At 37.2% G+C, this 21,094-nt stretch overlaps 1 protein-coding gene across 9 annotated transcripts in view; it reads right to left on the minus strand.

Annotated features, from left to right (window-relative positions):
• The window catches only part of IWS1 (interacts with SUPT6H, CTD assembly factor 1), a 46,525-nt gene that overhangs the window by 8,807 nt on the left and 16,624 nt on the right, over window positions 1-21,094 (minus strand). For 5 of the 9 annotated variants that reach the window (XM_005263707.4, XM_006712626.4, XM_017004468.3 and 2 more), the window contains exons 3-11: window positions 15,066-16,134; window positions 13,769-13,958; window positions 13,197-13,254; window positions 8,522-8,619; window positions 6,380-6,530; window positions 5,254-5,336; window positions 3,663-3,792; window positions 2,353-2,470; window positions 214-325 (exon numbers count right to left, since the gene is read on the minus strand). In XM_005263707.4, the coding sequence (XP_005263764.1) occupies window positions 214-325; window positions 2,353-2,470; window positions 3,663-3,792; window positions 5,254-5,336; window positions 6,380-6,530; window positions 8,522-8,619; window positions 13,197-13,254; window positions 13,769-13,958; window positions 15,066-16,134 (2,009 nt within the window). Of the gene's footprint in view, window positions 1-199; window positions 326-2,352; window positions 2,471-3,662; window positions 3,793-5,253; window positions 5,337-6,378; window positions 6,531-8,521; window positions 8,620-13,196; window positions 13,255-13,768; window positions 13,959-15,065; window positions 16,135-21,094 lie in introns of those variants that run through there. The other 4 variants (XM_047444948.1, XM_011511450.2, XR_001738828.2 and 1 more) reach the window with 3 other exon arrangements.

Here is a 21,094-nt window from a genome sequence, read left to right on the forward strand (position 1 = left end):
ACAAACTGACCCAGAAAGGTCTGGTTAGGAGGACAGGACCCTCACTATACACTATCACATTTAAACTAAAAGGATATTATGAATTATGTACACATATCAAGCTGAGAGGAAAGGAAATCCTATCATCTTGCAGGCTTCCTAATGATCTTACTTAAAACTGAGTTACTGCAACAATAACGTGTATTCCACTTACTCATACCTGTTCCCTCATACCTGTTCATTCTTCGTCGTTGAGGCATCTGTTCTAGATCTCTCTGCTCCCTTTCTTCTCTTGTCATTCCTTTGTAGTTTGAGGTAAGACCAAATATAGGCCTAGACCACTCATCTGTAGTAAGAAAAAAATCAATTATTTTGTCCATAAAATTGCATTTCCATTTTTTTCAAATAATTGCACCCCAGTGTGAGGGGATATTCTAGACATTTAGAATATTCTTTCCTTGAAGAGTCCATTATTTCAGAGTAATTTATAGGATAAACAAAGCATAATGCCAGTGTACTGACTGACTCTGGCTGATTCAGAAAATTTAATGTAAAAGATCACCACAGAGATTTAAAGAAAGTAACATGTGATACACTTTAATAGTCAACAATTAGCTGGATTGACATTTCATAAAAGACATTTATTTAAAATTTTTATTTATTTATTTTAAAAGGCAGACTAATTTCTAAGTTTACGCTACTGGAAATAAAAAAGTCTTGAAATTCTGCTTTCTTATCCTAACCCAGAACAAACTCCTTTACAACTACCTTACAAAATGGTCTGTACCTTTAAAAATTACAGTTTAATAGTGCGGGTGGAGACTTTGTACTTCATTAAGTCTAACATAGCTGCTACAATGACCATGAAAGAAAGTATATGCCACTGTTCAGTCAGTCAAAGTCCAGGAGCCAACTGATGTCTTTGTTCTAAGACATAATGTAGCTTACTGCTACATTTAATACACTATAAAAACAAGAAAGGACCTTTATAGACCGAACATGGGTGCTGTCACACAAAGAAGGAAGCAGGGATTCTCAGGGGGTCCACGTATCTTTTAAAACCACCCCATTGACCCCACTTCTGGATTCAGAATCACTGCTGTAGTAAGTCATGGAAACCAGTGGGGATATTCTGCTTTTCTCAGTCTAGGGCAAAAAAATAAAGTTGCAAACTACTGCATAAAAGCACCAAAAGTTTATTACTTAACAGGCAGTAAGCTGCAGTTTACTGACAAGATCAAAGATGGTAGTATATCTCTGGTTTATAGAAGAAATTTACATTTCTCTAAAAGCTTTTGATAAACTTAACAATTCAAAAGAAAAATAATTATTCTATTCGAACGTAGTAGTTACTTTTTCAATCTAGCCTTGAAGTTCTAAAAATTCCTTTTCAACATGGAGGACAGGAAGAGTTAAGGAGGACAACAAAAACAAACACGGGTTTCATTCGTAAAACTGAAGAATTTCACAAACATGGCGCTTGATTACATAAATTTTGGTTTAGACTTCTCTGGATTTCTCTGGCATCATTAAATAAGAACATGCAAAAAGGTTTTGAAGACCATTGTGCAAGTAACAACAACAATGGCTGTTTCTTGAGTACTTACTATGTGCTAAGCACCGTGCTTTAGACACAACCTCTCATTTAATCTTTAAAGTCACCCAAAAGAAAACACATAATTATCTCAACTTTACAGAGCACAAATCACTAGCTAAGGAAATGCAGTAAGGTAGGTGGTGGATTCATGATCTGAACCCAGGTAATATCAACTCCATGGCCTGCAATCTAACCCCTCTCTTTCTCCATGCTCTCGACCCATGACTAGAAAATGCATACTTTTTACTTGCAATTTTTTTTTTTTTGAGACGGAGTCTCGCTCTTGTTGCCCAGGCTGGAGTGCAGTGGCGCGATCTCGGCTCACTGCAACCTCCGCCTCCCGGGTTCAAGTGATTCTCCTGCCTCAGCCTCCCGAGTAGCTGGGACTACTCGTGTATACCACCATGCCCGGCTAATTTTTTGTATTTTTAGTAGAGATGGGGTTTCATCGTGTTAGCTAGGATGGTCTCGATCTCCTGACCTTGTGATCCGCCCACCTAAGCCTCCCAAAGTGCTGGGATTACAGGCGTTAAGCCACCACACCCAGCCTCTTACTTGCTATTTTTAATACTGAATAGCATACTTAATTATATTGAGGTTTTTTTTTAAAGTCTAAGAGAAAATGCTAGTACCTGTAAGAAGTTATTCAAAAATTTCTATTCCACTTTACCGACTCGTTTAAAACAAATACTGGTAAAAATACAGCTTTTATATATACGCATCTCTCTCTTATCTATACACATAAACACAACAAACAAAAAGGAAAATTTACATACTGATTAATTTCCCTGCCATGTCCTTGTTAGACCTTGACTCCTTGGGGTGTTTATAGAGATACATCACTGCTCGTCCAATCCCACTATGCTTCAGGGTCTCCTGGCTCACACTAGGCAGCTGGGGAACATAAACACATACACACATATTAATCACTCGGAAGCTGGGGGTCTTGCTAGTCTATTCTAGAGACCTGGCACATTCACAACAGAACAAATAAAAAATTCCATTTTCAGGATCTACAGACATAGAACACAAAGATACTTTGTGTCCACATCAAAAGTTCAGAGTTCAGGCCAGGCATGGTGGCTCACGCCTGTAATCCCAGCACTTTGGGAGGCTGAGGCGGGTGGATCACCTGAGGTCAAGAGTTCAAGACCAGCCTGGCCAACATGTGGTGAAACCCATCTCTACTAAAAATACAAAAATTAGCCAGGTGTGGAGGCAGGCGCCTGTAATCCCAGCTACTCGGGAGGCTGAGGCAGGAGAATCGCTTGAACCTAGGAAGCGGAGGTTGAAGTGAGCCGAGGTGGTGCCACTGCACTCCAGCCTGGGCACCAGAAGCAAAACTCCGTCTCAAAAAAAAAAAAAACAAAAAGAGGTTGAGAGCTCAGTATTACAGCTGAGTTGAAGTAAAACCTAACAATGTGAGAAAGTATGAACCAAGCGTACTCAGAGGTTAGCAGTTTAATACAGGAGCCAGCACAGGCCTCAGAATCCAATAGACCTAAGACTGAACCCAAGCACAGCCACCTTCTAGCTATGTGACCTTGACGAGTCGTTTAACTTCTCTGCATCTTAATTCCCTCATCTGTAAAATGGAAATAATACACCTACCTTCTCAGTTTACTGTGAGGAAAAAACGAATCAATACATATATAAAGCACCTGGCACAGTGCGTGGCATAGGAGGTTTCCTTGGGAATTCCTTCAGAAGTTAAATAGCTTACCCAAGGTGTCACAACTACGTAAGGTGGCCCAGCTCAAGATTCAAATGCAAGTTCATATGATTCTGAATTTGGTGTTCATTCTGCGTCACATTTCTCCCTGGAACTTGCCCACTACTGTACTACTCTTCTCAGACACATTACAGCTACTCTAAGATTTTTTCCCTTCAATGCGATAGTTACATGAAGTTTTATAAGGTCTTCCCTTTCACGCTCATTTTATTAGATATGTTCCTTTTTTCCAACCCCTCTTCTGGCAGGCTGTAGCAGAGATAACATATAAAAACACTGTAAACTACACAGGTTATGACCATACAGACCACATTAGATAATTAATAAAGAACAGTCAGATTATCTGCCTCTAACCTCTTGCAGGATCTTCAGCAGCTCCTCCCGGATCTTGAGTGCAGGCAAACTCCTATCTGGTAGAGGTGAGAGCCATTCTTTGATGGCAGACATCACACCACTGTCAATGAATGTTTCTTTAAGGTCCTGCCTGCAGTAACAATAATTTTTAAAAATTCTGTGAACCTTGGTTCTACTGTATCTTCCGACTTTTCTTACATATTTAGTGATGTTTCTAAAAACTGCTTTTAAAGCGTTACTCATATAAATTTGACATTTACTGAACACCATTCTGGTTTCGAAAGCAGTATGACATTTAGTTCTTATTTTCCAGAAATGCATATACTTGACAAAGATGATTTGCTGAAAACAAAACAAACTCAAGTTACACAAGATAAATTAATGCTGATATGAATGGTACAGACAGTAAGAACAATTAACTCCAATCTTTTCAACTAAAAAAAAAAAACGTTCAATCTATCAAAATAGTGATTCTTGAACAGTTTTACATGGTGGTGAACCCAGATTTGCTCTTCTCTGCAGGACACCAATGAGACTAGCACTCCACTGGCAGGACAAAAAAAAAAAAAAAAAACTCAATAAAATAATACTTAAATTCCATTTTATGTACTGGAATCAGTTATGTTAATAGAAAAGATAACATTATATACATAAAACCTGCCACAGATAGTTTCCCCTGTTAGAATAGAGGGAGAAATTTTCTAGTTACAGATGCTCTAGGCCATGCTGGTGGCAGCTCACTGATGCACCAATACATTTCCTCAGTCATCAAAAGTAGGCTGTGGCTTAGTTCAAAGAGAAAGCAAGGTTGCTCAGAAATATAAGCAAATCAGGGCCCGGTGTGGTGGCTCACACCTGTAATCCCATTCCAGTACTTTGCCTTTGGGGTGTTGAGACGGGAAGATCGGCTGAGCCCAGGAGTTCGAGACCAGCCTGGGCAACACAGCGAGATCCTGTCTCTAATTAAAAAAAAAAAAAAAAAAAAAGCAAATCAATGAAAAAAGTTAGAAACAAGGATCTACTCAAAAAGGGCATCATTACTTCAGAAGGATCAATAATTGTGACACATTAGAGTCATATAAGCCTTGTACAATGCAGCCTTCAGGTAGGATCTTCCAAGATTTACTATTTTCCATCACACGGAGAAAACAGATGCAATTTTACCAGACCAAAAACTGTCTATAAAGAACAAAATTAGTGGCCAGGTGCAGTGGCTCATGTCTGTAATTCCAGCACTTTGAGAGGATGAGGTGGGAGGATTACTTAAGCCCAGGAGTTCAAGACAAGCCTGGGCAACATAGCAAGATCCTGTCTTTACCAAAAAAACAAAAACAAAACAAAAAAACACAAAATTAGTAGTTTCCAAGTTTTTCTTTCGTTAGTATCAATTTTTTATTTGTTCTGTTTGCACCAGGCATCAAGGCTTAATAAAAATTTATGAAGAAATATAATTTAGGAAATTTTATTCATTATCTTTCTGTGAACCGATAGAAGTCTATCATTATTTAATATTCCTAGAACACCAGTACATCATTTGAATTATCATTCCATGAAAAGGAAAAAGACATTTTAAAGAAAACAAAATACTTACTTCTTAAGGTGCATAACTACAGCAGGCAGTAAAGTTAATTTTTTCAGTGCTGGCTTTTTTTGATTGTTCAACTGTCTGTCTTCCTATTCAGAAAAAAAATAAAGATTTTTTTTTAAAACAGTACTTTTTATTAATATTGAATTCACTGTAATTCTGAACCTTAAAATAACAGTTTTTCAAAGAAACAATTTTTCCTACAAGAAAGAATAATTTAAGATGGATCTTCTGCAGAGCACCAAGCTCTGTATCTGTCTATGTCAGTCAAACCCAAAAAACTATTAGAATAATTGCCTTTAACAACTACAAATTGAGAGAAACAATTTTAATGTAGAACATTAGCATAACTGTCAAATTTTCAGAGTTCATTAAAGGTACAAATTAAAACTGGGAAATTCTGGTTTATTATATTAGGAACAATTTTCCAGGTGTGAGGTTATATGATATTGGAATATACTATATCAAAGAAGAGTTTCAGTATTACTTGGGCAGTTTTTTCTATTTTTTTAAATTATGAAAAATTTCAAATTCTACAAATATAGAATAATATACCTGTTGCATATATTTCAACAACTGAATACACATAGCTAGTCTTCTTTTAGCTACTTTCCCTCCATTCTTGAATTGTTTTGAAAGAAATCCTAGACACAGATCATTGAATCCATGCTGAACTCTCAACAAGTGTCTCCAAAAGATCTGAACTTGTTTTTTAAACATACTACTGGGCCAATTTTTATAAGTTGAGCAGATTTTTAAAATGCAATGAAAGAAGCCGTGTCTTGATCAGGAGCAAGAGAACGACACATGAATTTGTAACACCTTTTATATATGAAGAAACTAAACTTTGTGGTGAACTAGCCAAATCTGAGAACAAAACCATTTCCCATGAAACTAGCAAAGCCATTCACCTAAAACGTTTCATTTTACTGAATACCTCATATTTTCACTTTTTCTAAACGTGTGACTAAAAAATTAAAATATTTCCATGATTAAAATTGAGAACAGTAAATGCTTTATTACAAAAAGCAAAGCATCTTAATTGTAGTTTAAGGGTTAAGTATCAAAAAAAGGGCATCCAATAAACTCAGTGGGAGGAAAAAAAGGTGAACCTAGAAGCGACCCAGCTCACCTCAGCAGCTTCATTCATCTTGACGATCATGGCACTCACGACGTCGTCTGCATCACTAATAAAGGTGCCACCATCGCGGTTCCGTCTGCGCTTGCCACTCATGCTCTTTTTTCGCTGCAACATCATCTCAAAATCTGACAGAAAGTCCATACTAAAGCAGTAAACAAAAGCAAGTGAAATACAAGTTGTCTTTTAAATACACATTTACTTTCACAACAATTAAGAACACCAAATTTCTTAATTCTAACTCAATGAAGTGCTACCTTCTTTTAAAAGTGCAAATACAGTCATGCGCCGCATAACGATGTTTCGGTCAATGACGGACTGCAAATACGACGGTGGCCATCCAGTAAGCTAAGGTTAACTTTTTATTGAAGAAAAAAATATTTTTTATAAATTTAGTGTAGCCTAAGCATACAGTGTTTATAAAGCCTATGGTAGTGTACAGTAATGTCCCAGGCCTTCACATTCACTCATCACTCACCCAGACCAAATTCCAGTCCTGCTTTCATTCATGGCAAGTACTCTAAACAGGTGTACCATATTTTATCATACACACACACACACACACACACACACACACACACATTTTTTAAAGAGTTGGGGTGTTGCTCTGTCACCCAGGCTGGAGTGCGGTGGCACAATCATAGTTCACCGTAGCCTCAAACTCCTGGGCTCATCCTTCCACCTTAGCCTCCTGAATAGTTGAGACTACAGGCCCACACAACATGCCTGGCTAATTTTTTAAATGTTTTGTAGAGACAGGGAGGGCCTCACTATATGTCACCCAGGCTTGTCTTGAACTCCTGGCCTCAAGTGATCCCCCTGCCTCAGCCTCCCAAACTGTTGAGATTACAGGCATAAGCCACCACGTCCAACTATATTGTATTTTAACTGCAACTTTTCTATGTTTAGATACACAAATACCATTGTGTTACCACTGCCTACAGCATTCAGTACAATAACATGCTGCACAGGTTTGTACCCTAGGTGCGATAGGTTTTACCATACAGCCTAGGTGGGTAGTAGGCAATACCATGTAGGTTTGTATAATACTATGATATTGATACAACAACAAAATCACCTAATGACACATTTTTCAGAATATATCCCTGTTGTTAAGCGACGCATGACTGTACTTAGAACCTGCTATTAAAAGAACGGTTGATCCTAGACTTTATTTCAATTCCTGTACTACCCTGTTATATATACACATATAAATCGCTAATAGCCCGGAACTTTTCATGCACTATATTCACACTTGCATCTATCAGTTTGAGAAAGTACATTTTAAGTTCCAATGCAGGGGATTCATTCAGCTTTAGTGGCACTGCCCTTTCTTGGACTAGGAAGGTGTTCAATTATTTGAATGTTGTGGTCTTATATAGCATGAGTAGAAAAAATGAAAAATAAACTGCTGCTTTTCAGTGATAGGAAGTATAACTCTCAAAACATAATGAGAGATACACATGGAAAACTACAGGCTTGCTAAGCGCCTCAAACCTTTATGGCTTTCATCAGAATCATTACACTTAAAAAAGAGGGAGTTAAGTTATTGTCTGCCACTATCCTATCAATTCAATTTCCAAAAGTACTGCCAAACTCATTCAGTTTAATTACTGCATGCCACTAGGAATTAAAAATGAAACTATTTTTTAAAAGCATCTTTACGACTGAAAACAGTAACTAATCCTTCTATTACCGTATGACATCTTTTAAGATATCAGATTTTTCTGAACATAGATTCCAACTAGCTCAACTAAAGTAAGTGAAATATGGTCAAGTAATATTTTGTAGTTAAGATGTTAGACTATTTCCCCTGCCCCACAACATCAGCTTGTCTCTCAAAAAGGTATTTTTAAAATTAGGTTATTTTTCATAAGAGTTTACTTGGTGAGCCATAAATTAAGTCTGGTGCCATATAAATACAACTCCACAAAGTAAGACATCTGAGCACAGGGTAAATGAAAGACAAGTAACAACAGCAGGTAATTCACTGACAACACCGTAAATGGAGAAAAACAGGAATAGACCCACTCCTAAACTTAATCAGGAACCAAAATGAAAAACAAAAGAGAGTTTAATAGTCTCTACCTTGATTTTTAAACTTCTCTTTAACAAATTCCTTAAAAACAAACTTACTGTTTTCCTCTCTTTATGTTATCATCAGAATCTGAATCTTCTGCTTCTTTTACCTGTGTTTCACCTTTTTCTTCTTCCAGATCTTCTTGGTTAAAACCCTAAATGCAAAATTATCACAACCTCCTTACAGATTTTCTTCTGTATTAAGTGTTCTTAATATTTTGCATTTTTAAAGTAATTCATTCACAAAGAACAAAAATTCAATAGATATCAAAAGGTACATAACAAAAGGTCCCTCTCCAGCCACTAGTGTTACTAGGTTTCTTGTGTTTCCTTCCAGAAATAGTCTGTTTATATAAGCACTTCTACACATACTTCATATCCTCTCTTATTACACAAACTGAAGCATACTATTCAGAGTGGGTACAGGATAATGCTCTGCATCTTCCAAATTTAAGAAAAGAATCTAGAGGCCAATCCATGTCAGTATTAAGTCTTGTCATTTTTTTCAAGGCTTTAGACTATTTCACAATATGGCTGCAACCACAATTTGTTTACTTATTTGCCTAGTCACATTTAGTTTTATGTATATGAAATTGCGAAATACTTGCCAAACTGTATTCCACAGAGGTTATACCAATTATCTCTCCAGCAAGTATGAGGACTCCTGTTTCCCTACGTACTCACTACTACAGCAAAGATATCAAACATTGATACCCACCAATCTCTGGATGGAAAAACAAATCTCAGGGTAGGTTTATTTGCATTTTCTTACTATGGGGGTAACGTTGGGCATTTTTTCCATTTACAAAGCCATGTGTCATTCTTTCTCTGTGAACTCTGAACATTCTATGCCCATTTTTTGCTGGACTGTTCATCTTTTTCTTATCAGTATGTAAAATCTCTTTGAAAATTAGATATAGCCCCCTACAAGTGACAGGAACTGTACAATCCCCACATTTGTACAGTCTGATTTTGTTTATGCTAATATTTGCCAGGCATAATTTTTCTTTTTCTTTTTTTTTTTTTGAGACGGAGTCTCACTGTGTCGCCCAGGCCAGAGTGCAGTGGCGTGATCTCGGCTCACTGCAAGCTCCACCTCCCGGGTTCATGCCATTCTCCTGCCTCAGCCTTCTGAGTAGCTGGGACTACAGGCGCCTGCCACCATGCCCAGCTAATTTTTCGTATTTTTAGTAGAGATGGGGTTTCACCACGTTAGCCAGGATGGTCTCGATCTCCTGACCTTGTGAGCCGCCCACCTCGGCCTCCCAAAGTGCTGGGATTACAGGCGTGAGCCACCGCGCCCGGCCAATTTTTCATTTTTATGTAAATGAAATGGCCTGTCTTTTCTTTATAGTGTCTACCTTTTGTGTTATACTTAGAGGCTTTCTCAATGGTTCACCTAGTACAATTTTTTTCTAACTGAACTGAAACTATAACCAAGTTGATGTTAAGTCTCCAAAACAGGTAAGTATACCTTATTCTTACAATATGGTGCTTAACTAAGTATGAGCTCCATGAAGGCAGTGTCCAGTCTCTGAAACATTTGTTGAATGAATTCTTCCTTTATATTTTTCTCAGGTTTACTTTCTTATTTCACTATTGTCCTGAATTAGATTCTAAATTCATCTACCTTCACTCTCTATTGCATTGGTTAAAAATAAGTATTGTTTTTTTTTTGACCCAAGAACTATTTAAGCAGGGTTTAAGTTTCTGAGCGGCAAACAGATTGGAAAATATATACAGACACTTGATATATGACAAAGATGGCACTACAGAATAGTAGGAAAGGATGATCTTTTCAATAAATGGTGCTGGGTCAACTGGATACTTCAAATAAGGAAAAAAATCTTGACTCTTACCTCATACCACATACGAAACCAATTCTAGGTGAATTATACAATTAAATGTGAAAGACTGAATAATCAAGCTTCTAGAAGATAACTTGTATCTTCACGACCTTGGGGACAGGCAAAAATTCTTAGGCAGAATTCAGTCTTCACCATAAAGAAAAAGATTGGTAAATTTGATCCTATGTTAAAATTAAGCACTTTTGTTCATCAGAAGACTCCATGTTAACGGAATGAATTTAAGATATTCTAAAAAAATTTTTAAAGAAAGACTCCATTAAGAAAGTGAAAAAGAAGTAACAAAATGAAAGGTATTTTTAACATTCGTAATTGCCAAAGAGGATTATACGTGGATTATATAGAGACTGTTCCCTGGTTTTTTCGATCTGCTTCTTCTGTCAGTTACATTTCTCTTAGATTATGGACTTGTCCATTTCTCTTTTCAGTTCTATCAATTTTTGATTTTTAAGTGTGCATATATCTATAAAGCCATGTTATTAGGCGCAAACAATTTTAAAATCTTTTTATCGATATAAAGTGACCTCTTTATCTTAAGTACTTTTTTTTGCCTTAATGTCTACCTCCCTCTTTTATAATATTATAGATACCACAACAATTTTCTTTTGGTCCATGTTTACACAAAGTCCCCTTTCATACACCTTTATTTTCAGCTTTACCTTCTGTTTCAGACAAATCTCTTGACATCAGTATATGGCTGGTTTTTAAGATCCTGTCTGGCAATTGTTGTCCTTTAACTGGAATATTTACTATTTACATTTAATTTAATTTCTGATATTATCAAAATTTAAATCTACTATTTTACCATGTAATACTTTCTAATTGTCCCTTGTCCTATAGTTCTTTCTCTTTTCCTGCTCATTTTCGACTGATTAGTTCTAGTTGTTCCACTTTCCCCCCCTATTAGTTTAGAAATTACACATTCCATTTTAGTCTTGTTAGTGGTCACTTTAGAGACTACAACATGCACCCTAACTTATCAGTTTACTAATGTACATTCATACACATTTGCAAAGGCCTATGAGCACTTCAATTCCACGTATGCTCCCAATTTACTGCTGTCATGTTTTAATTTTATATATATTCCACATTAAATACATTTCATTTTGTATAGTCAATACTCATTTAGACTTATACACATACTTTTGTTGCTCTTTTCTCCCTCCTGCATCTCTAACCTTCCATCTGAGATCATTCTTTCTTGCATTTCTTTCCTTCTGTATTTCCTTCAGCTGGTACACTGTTAATTAATTCCCTCCTTATTTCATCTTCATTCCTGGAAAGTATTTTTGCTAAATTTAACAAAATTCTAGGTTTGCAGTTAGTAGATTCTATTGTTTCTGTTGTGAAGTCAGCTGTTAGTCTAATCATTACTTTTCTGAACGTATTTTTTTTCCCTTGTGGCTGCTTTTAGACTTTCCTATTTTCGTTGGTTTCTTGCAGTTTTATTACGATGTAGTTAGGTGTAGATTTCTTTTTGTTTATCTTCCTTGCAATGTGTACAACTTCGAGAATCTATGGTTTAGGTATCATTTCCTTTTAAAATACTGCTTCTGCTATACATGTAACTTTCCCTCTCCTTTCATTATTCCAATTTTTGCGAAAACTTTTCGATGTATAGTCTATATCTTTTCCTTTCTTCTGTAATACTGTATCTTGAAGCTTCATTCCAGATCTCTCCTTCTAAGCCATCTTCCAGTTCACTTATTTTCAAGTATGTCTAATCTGATGCTAAACTCATCCACTAAGTTTTCTGTTTTCCCCACCCCCTCCCACCCCATTTTTCTTTTCAAACAGGGCCTCACTATTTTACCCTGGCTGGTTTCGAACTTCTGGGCTCCAGCTACCCCCAAGCCTCAGCCCCCCGAGTAACTGGGACTACCAGCTACTTGCACCTACCTACCTGTACATCGAGTTTTTAATTTCAGTTACTGTATTTTTATAGTTCTAAAATTTCTACTTGGTTCTTTTCCAAATTTGCCTTCTTTTTGTTTGCTCTGACATTTTGAATCTTGTTTCTTATCTCCCTGAACATATTTAAGGTGGTATCTAAAATTCCTATATCTAGAGCCCTAAGTCTATTACTATTGTCATCATTACTGTTACCTTTTAATGTTATTTTTGTGTATAATAAGTACATATGAAAAACTTAAACCACTGTAATCTTATTTCTGAGACTGAGATTCTCTAGTCTGCCAGAAGATTCAAAGATGGCCTAAAATCTGAGCAAAGGCTATTTTATTTCCCCCTAAATCTTATGGTGCTGCTCTCTGAAGTCTCAATCCAGGGTATGGGGTTTACAAAGCCCCCTAACCTCAATAGGCCCCGAACTCTAAATTTTGTCCCCAAGCCTTGAGGCTGTCAAAAATATGAGTAGCCTCTCAGCCTGACAGGCAAACACCCCCACAGAAAAAGCACTTCTAAACACTGAATTACCACTTTAGGTTTCTCTTGGCTTAGTAATTCTTTGCTACTTTGTTCCTAGATAATGAGCAGATTTCTATATATTTTTGTCTAGCTTTTCTAGTTGTGCTTGGCAGAGGGGTTAGTCCAAATCACCTAGAATGCCACTGTGAAAATCGGAAGTTCCCTAATTATTGTGAATCTTGCCCTTTAGCATTATAAAGTGACTTTCTTTGTCTCAAAGTGTCCCTTCCCCCTTAATTCAATTTTGCCCATTAGCTTCCTTTTATGTCTTTGTATATACGCTTTCATTTTACTTCCTGAATCCCTCTTCTAGATTTTTATCTTGAATACATCATAATTGTTTATTCCTACTTATTAGAATCATCTATAATGGTATCACTGCCATAAAAACACCAAAAAAAAGCACAATCAAGGAGGAAATATTTCCATCTTATACTTACTGTAAATTCTTCTTCCTCTTCATCACCAGATTCTCCAAATATGTCTGCAATAAGATTTCTAGAAAGTAGACAAATGTAAAAACATTCATTTGCTTTATCCTCATTTGCATAGGAACCATTTTTTAAAAAATAGAATTTATGTACAGTAAAATGTGCAGATCTTCAGTGTTCAGTTCAATGAGTTTTAACAAATATATACACTCATGTAACCAGCACCCTATACACTCATGTAGCCTCCCCAGAAAGTCCTCTCATGGCCCCTTCTAGCTGGTCCCCAATATCAACATCCTAGAAACAACTGCCACCTTGACTTCCAACACCACAGATAAATTTTGCCTACTGAACTTCATGTAAATGGAATCATATATGTCCTCTTTGCTTTCTTTCACTTAACATGTTAATTCTGAGATGAATTCTGAGATTCACCCACATTGTAGTGTGTTCAGTTCAGGAACTAAAATACTAAATCCCCAAAGACATGCAATTAGGCAGGACATATTGTATTATAACACAGACCCCTCTCTACTGCCTAATTAAGAACCCCTGAAAACTCATGTTATACTGTCACTTACTCTTCTTCATTGCCTGACTCACTGTCACTCCCAAACAGATCCTTCTCTTCATTTTTCTTATCAGACAATTCTTTCCCAGCTTCTTCCTCACTGTCAGATGCTATGGTCTTCTCTCTTTTGCCTGACTTGTCTGATACAGCATCACTGTCAGAGTCATCTGCATCAGAGACAACACGACTCTTCTTTGCTGCTGTTGAAAAAGAAAATCATCATTAATTTTATTTTATCACAGCCATTGTATTACTAAGCATAACAGGTGCTTTAAGATGGCAGTATACAGCAAAAATAAATAAATAAATAAATAAATAAATAAATAAATAAAATAAAATCAGAGGGCCTCCTGACACATGGTTTAGAATTTTTAAAATAACTAAATGGCTCATTCAGAGTCATCTTACAAATTATCTGTTATTTTGCTTAAGAAAAACTGGCCAAAAGATGAAGAAAGATATCATCAATATAAAAGCAGCCACCTTTCCTTTTGGGAAATCGAGAAAATTAAAACTAGATTGATGGGCAAAACTGGCATCCTTTCTATGTTGCCTAGTAGTAACTGAACTAAAAAGGACTACATATTTCTTTCTAGGAATAGTCTCCATGTTCCTCTATCATTGCTGGTCAGTTTGAAATTTCTCATCTCCCTTAACAAATTGACAGCATGTCTGGTACCTTTTCCTTCTCCTATAAGAACTGTGAGGTTATAATGAAATATGTCTTTTCCAAAAAAGATAAGTTTCATAAAAAAGTAGACAAGTAATACTATCTGTGCAAATGGAGTCTTAGATAGCAGAGACTGAAACACTCTGGAGAGAGATGGTGTCTCTAAATAGAATCCTCTCAAAGCTTCCCTGTATCTGAATATTCAACAATGTTTAACAAATGAAGAGATGTACCTGTGGGAGCTGTTACTGTTTGGATGGGATCTAGTGAACTAAGTGTCAAAGAGACCCACAGCTAACAATTAATACAGTTAGGGGTTTTTATGTAAACGTATTTCTTTGAAACATTACCTCTTCCAGTTTTAAAAAAAAAAAACAGTATTTTATATTCCTATTGACATGTGGTTTATCACTTTGAGGCAGTCAGAGATTAATATGTGCTAATAGAACTCCAAGGAAACTTACTATTAAGCTTAGCTAATGATAACCAGGGGAAATGAGTGTCCTACTGATATTTTAGAATATTAAGCTGAATAACAGAACACAGATCTGACATACCAAGAGGATACAATGTTCCACAGTTACAAGCTTAGACAATGAATAAAGCCATTGATAAACAGCCCAAGGTAACTCCTTACATGCTTTCTCTTCATCTTCACTATCAGAAAGCACAGCAGCTTTTCTCTTCGCTACTTTCTCCTCCTCACCCTCTTTTTCATCTTCATCACTGTCCATTTTTTGCTTTTTGTGTTCTTCCTCCTCACTATCAGAACTGTGAAACTTTTTTCTGTCCATATGGCTGTCTGAATGGAAGGAGTCATTCTGCATTTCTGTATCCTCTCCCTTATTCTCCCTGTCGCTGTCATCATCTGACTCTGGCTTCTGTTTGTGTCTGGACGCATCCTCAGTTTCTGAGTCACTGGCAGGCCCCTTCTGAGGCCCCTCACTCTCAGAGTCACTGACTCGGGGTTTGGGTAGCTCCTCATTTTCCGAATCACTGGCCTGGTTCCTTGGGGGATCCTCACTTTCCGAATCACTGATTCGGGGTTTGGGAAGCTCTTCATTTTCTGAGTCACTGGCCTGGTGCCTCGGAGGGTCCTCACTTTCTGAGTCACTGATACGAGGTTTGGGAAGCTCCTCATTTTCAGAGTCACTGGCCTGGTGCCTTGGGGGTTCCTCACTTTCTGAATCACTGACCTGAGGTTTAGGAAGCTCCTCACTTTCAGAATCACTCATTCGAGGTTTGGGAGGCTCCTCATTTTCGGAGTCACTGGCTTGGTGCCTTGGGGGTTCCTCACTCTCAGAGTCACTGATTTGAGGTTTTAGAGCATCTTCTGTTTCAGAGTCACTAGCAGGACTCTTCTGGAGCTCCTCAATCTCAGAATCACTGGCGGGATGCTTCCCAACATCTTCGTTTTCTGAGTCACTTGCATGCCCATTAAGAAGTTCCTCATTTTCAGAGTCACTACCAGGTAATTTCCTGGTCTCTTCACTCTCAGAGTCGCTCCCATGCTGATTGACATCCTCATTTTCAGAATCGCTTGCAGGAGGCTCTGCACGTTCCTCAGATTCAGAGTCGCTGTCCTTTTGCCTGTGAAGCTCCTCACTTTCAGAGTCACTAGCATTAAGATTTAAGGGCTCATCGTTCTCAGAGTCTGTCACATGATGTCCTTTGGGGAGGCCATCTTCTCGATCACTAGTTTCATTCTGAAAAATAAAGTGAGAAAAAATTAGGAAAGTGCAAAAAAAAAAAAACCATTAATAATAAAACATTAAATTTTTTCTGTGATTTTTTTAAAATACAGGATTATGTGCACCTAAATGGAGAATTCTTGTCCTATACCCATATAGAAACACCCCCACAGAAAGCCAATCAGTGAAATGGTTTTATTTGGATCCCCAAATGGGGAAATATAACCAGCCTTCATCAAAACAGATTTGTAAAGCATGCCCTCAGATTACTACAGAAAACTGACCGTGAAGAGCTAGATTTTTTCTTTTTTAAAAGGCGAATTTTCTCATACATACTTCTGTTTTGTAAAAATATAACTCTAGGCTGGACAAGGTGGCTCACACCTTTTGGGAGGCCGAGGTGGTGGATCACCTGAGGTCAGGAGTTCGAGACCAGCCCGGCCAACATGGTGAAACCCTGTCTCTATTAAAAATACAAAAATTAGCTGGGCGTGGTGGTGGACACCTGTAATCCCAGCTACTAGGGAGGCTGAGGCAGGAGAATCACTTGAACCTGGGAGGCGGAGGTTGCAGTGAGCTGAGATTGCACCATCGCACTCCAGCCTGGGTGACAGAGTGAGACTGTCAAAAATAAAAATAAATAAATAAAAATAAATAACTCTATTTTTCAAAGAAATACAAGCAAACATGTAACCAAGTTCTTTTACACAGGAACATTCTTGGGTTTTATAAGGTTAAGATTATTTAAGGGAAAAGAACTATAAAATTTAATTTTATTTAAAGGGTCAAATAACATATGGGCACCTTCTCCCAAGATAATTTAAGCAAACAAAGAAAGGAGAAGTTAACATTTCCTAAGTACCCACTAAGAGCCAATACCACAACAGGCTCTCTCCTGTTAGTTCATTTACTCCTCATAATGGTACTTCTCATGATAACAAAATTGAGGCTTACAGTAGTCACGGTCCTGTGTCTAGTAACCCTAGAAACAAGAAAGCTTAAGTTTTAGGGAGAACATGATTCATCTAACTATACCAACACATAATGTTACTTGAAATAATTACTCTGAAAACATGCCCTGGGGTACAAACTTGATATGTGCATATTATAGCTATGGCTTTAAAATGCAGAGAAAAATATACAAAATTAAACATGCCAAAATACTAACAAGTATTTTAGGATCCGGTGAATTTTTTCTCCCATCTGGTAGCTCAACTTTAAATAACATGGCAATAATATTCTAGCTTAAAAAGTGAAAGTATTTCCGTGTTTGAGTATACCCTCTTAAAAATTTACTGAGCCAAATATTTCTTGTTAGATATATGACTTAAGCTATGTGAACCTACCACAGACCAATTTTCAAGGACCAAAGAGCCTTTAATAATATATATGCCCAACATCATGCTATGAAACAGTTAAGTGACAAGATTATTCTTGTCAATGACAAGATAAATGGCTTGAAAATGTTCTCATAAAACCCAAACTTTTACTAACCCAAGTATGCTGTGTCTACAAATTCAAAAAGAATATGAAAAATTATAAAATAGCCTACAAAGCCAATGTTTGAAGAGTTTTTAAATATTTTATCACCATTATGACAGCACAGCATTGCAAAGAGTCATTGCTATACACAGTCACTGAAATATAGCACATTCAGGTAAGTTTCCAAAATCATACACTTTTCAAAATTCCTAAATACATTTTTCTTGAGTTCTCACTGGGCACTCAACACAGTACTGTATTAGATTCCTTGTCAGTCACAAGCTCTATTATCCCACTGAAACAGGCACTTATCTATTAAAACGGTATTAGGACTTGAGAGATATCATAGAATCTTACAATTACCGTACAATAGTCTGTATGTTGCCTAAAGTTTACTTTAGCCACACTTCATAATTTAAAAGAATGCAGATGGAAAATTTAACTATCTAGATTGTAAGCTCTAGGAAGGCAGACATATTTTGGTTTGTTTTCCTGAGGTATCCTCAGAGTGCAGAATGGTCTCCAGAACATACACACACTAGGTAGAGTTCGAGCATTCCTAATCTGAAAATTCAGACAACTCCAAAATCTGAAACTTCTTGAGCACTGACATGACACCACAAGTGGAAAATTCCACACATAAGCACCCAACACAAACTTTGTTTCATGTGAAAAATTATTTAAAATAATGTGTAAAATTACCTTCCAGCTATGTATATAAGACACATGAATTTCGTGTTTAGACTTGGGTTCCATCGCCAAAATAGCTCACTCTGTATAAGTAAATATTCCAAAACTCGAAAAAATTCTAAATCCAAAACACTTCTGATTTGAAGCATTTTGGATAAGGGATACTCAACGTGTATTTGTTAAATGAGTAATAAAGGCCTTAAGTGGGAATAACATAAGGTGAGGAAAAATTAATCCAACAAGAATGTATTTCATGTCTACTACGTGCAAGACACCAAGAATCCAGGCGGAGTATGTCACAGGGCCTGACCTTAAGAGCTGCTGTCTGATGAGGAGCCAGCCAAGCATACTGTAACAGTATAGTGTGACATGCACTATTCACAAAGTATGTATATGATATTTCAAAAGTGTACTGGAAGTGCATCTATATGAAACTGAGCTGCAAAAAAAAGGTGTGCAGACAACAGGCATGTTTGCATGCAGTTTGTGATGGCTGAGTTAAGACGGGAGGGTGGGGAGAGGCATACAGTACCAGCAGAGGCAATTAAAGCAGGAGGCAAAAAGGAAAATTATAATTGGCTTTTGGAATGCTCTCCATGATATATCCATCACATAACTCTAACACCATTTCTATGTGTGACTTGATTTATTTTAGTTGAAACTACAGAAATCATCTCTAGCTAAGTCCAGAAAAAAAGAACAATCTTCTCAGGATCAAAGTCAGTTGAATGACTAAACACTTGGGAAGGTTAAGTACCAACGCAGCACAGAGAGCTTAGAAAAGGGAACTCAAGGATCATTTTACTAGAGTACCATCAGTAACATGACTCAGCTATACCCTGTCTAGAACCTAAATTATAAATCCCCAAGAGAGATGACTTAACTGGCCAAGGCAATATTAGAAACTGTGACTCAATCAGTTACAGCTGGATCGGGGCACAGCACTGGGAGTCACTCCCAAAGAAGTGAGAGACACTGGGCAGTCATCCAAAACTCACCCGCTACACTCTACCCCAGATTTCCTGACACATGGTGTAGCATTCCAAAACAAACCCTTACAAGGACACTGCATAAGACAATGATTGTAAAATTTAGGAATCCTCATGAATTTTTTATGAGTTTCACGAAAACATAGCATTATGTATGGCATGACAGGGCAAAAAAGGGGAGAAATCACTACAGTAAAGAAGTACTAGTTTAATAGACTCGAGCTAAAGAATACACTTAGACAACACCACCACAGAATTTGGGACGAGTATGCTGGAAATTATACAGTTAAGCTTAAAAGTTATCAAAACAATATCCAAAGTTTTTAGAGTGGTTTTGGCAATTAAATTGCAAGCTTAAAAAAAATCCAAAAGACAGTTTTTTAAAAGTCAGATGAGTACAACAAACCAACAGTTGAAACTGACATTTAATGTCATTTCTAAAATAATGTAACACATTTCCTAGTTGTAATGGTAAAAGAAATTGAGCACTCAGAAGGTCCTTAGATGCTTTAGAAACATCTATAATGCCGCCGGGCGCAGTGGCTCACGCCTGTAATCCCAGCACTTTGGGAGGCCGAGGTGGGCAGATCACGAGGTCAGGAGATTGAGACCATCCTGCCTAACATGGTGAAACCCTGTCTCTACGAAAAATGCAAAAAATTAGCTGAGTGTGGTGGCGCACTCCTGTAGTCCCAGCTACTTGAGAGGCTGAGGCAGGAGAATCACTTGAACCCAGGAAGCGGAGGTTGCAGTGAGCCAAGATCGTGCCACTGCACTCCAGCCTATGTGACAGAGCAACACTCCATCTCAAAAAAAAAAAAAAAAAAAAAAAAGCCATCGATAATGCCTCATACCTCCTTCTTAGCCATCATTCACACTGCAGTTATAAATCACTGGTTATCCATCATAATAAACAATCTTGTTTATCTCAGTCTACAAAGAATAACCACACTTCTTATGACCAGGGCCACAATACACAGAGAGATAACTGACATTCTTAAACTGCAAAGTAAATAAAACTGCTATAAATCAAATAATAATTTGTAAAGTATTCAAATTTCAAAGTATTATATCGTCAAATGGAAACGTGTATAGACCCAAATAACTCAGGACACTTTGTTTCTTCTTTACTGGTGAGAAGTGTCAAACTCAAAGTACTTGATGTTGCATACTACTCTACCATTATAAACTGGTAAAATGCTCAACACTAAACCACACAGTACATTCCATGAGGAAATATCTATAGGACCATTTTCAAAAACATGTTTCACGGGACCTTAGTTCCAGAAGATATAGCTGAAACTATCATACTGGACTTTGTCAATGCGTATCAGTTTAATGAGCATGAAAGAATCTGAGAAACCCTGCAGTAAAATACATAATGCTGTCAATCCAATGTAGTTCCTGGAGTGTTGCAACACTCTGAGAAACTCCCAAGCACACACTTAATATAATGAAGCTATAAACCAGAATGTCCCTTGTGTCCCCTGTCTATCAAAAGTTGGTTGATCTTAGAATAAGAGTCAGAAACAAAGGCACTCCTGATGAATACCAGAAAAAAAAATTCTACACAAAGCTTGTTTTTTGTTTGTTTGGTTTGTTTTGTCTTTTTGAGACAAGGTATCACTCTGTCACCCAGGCTGAAGTGCAGTAGCATAACCATAGCTCAGTATAGCCTTGAACTCCTGGGCCCAAGAGATCATCCTGCCTCAGTCTCCCAAGTAGCTGAGACTACAAGCACACGCCACCACGTCCGGATAATTTTTTTTTTTTTTGTAGAGACAGTCTGTGTTGCCCAGGCTGTTCTCAAATGC

This window comes from Homo sapiens, chromosome 2 (genome assembly GCF_000001405.40).
Source record: "Homo sapiens chromosome 2, GRCh38.p14 Primary Assembly".
Classification (NCBI taxonomy): domain Eukaryota; kingdom Metazoa; phylum Chordata; class Mammalia; order Primates; family Hominidae; genus Homo; species Homo sapiens.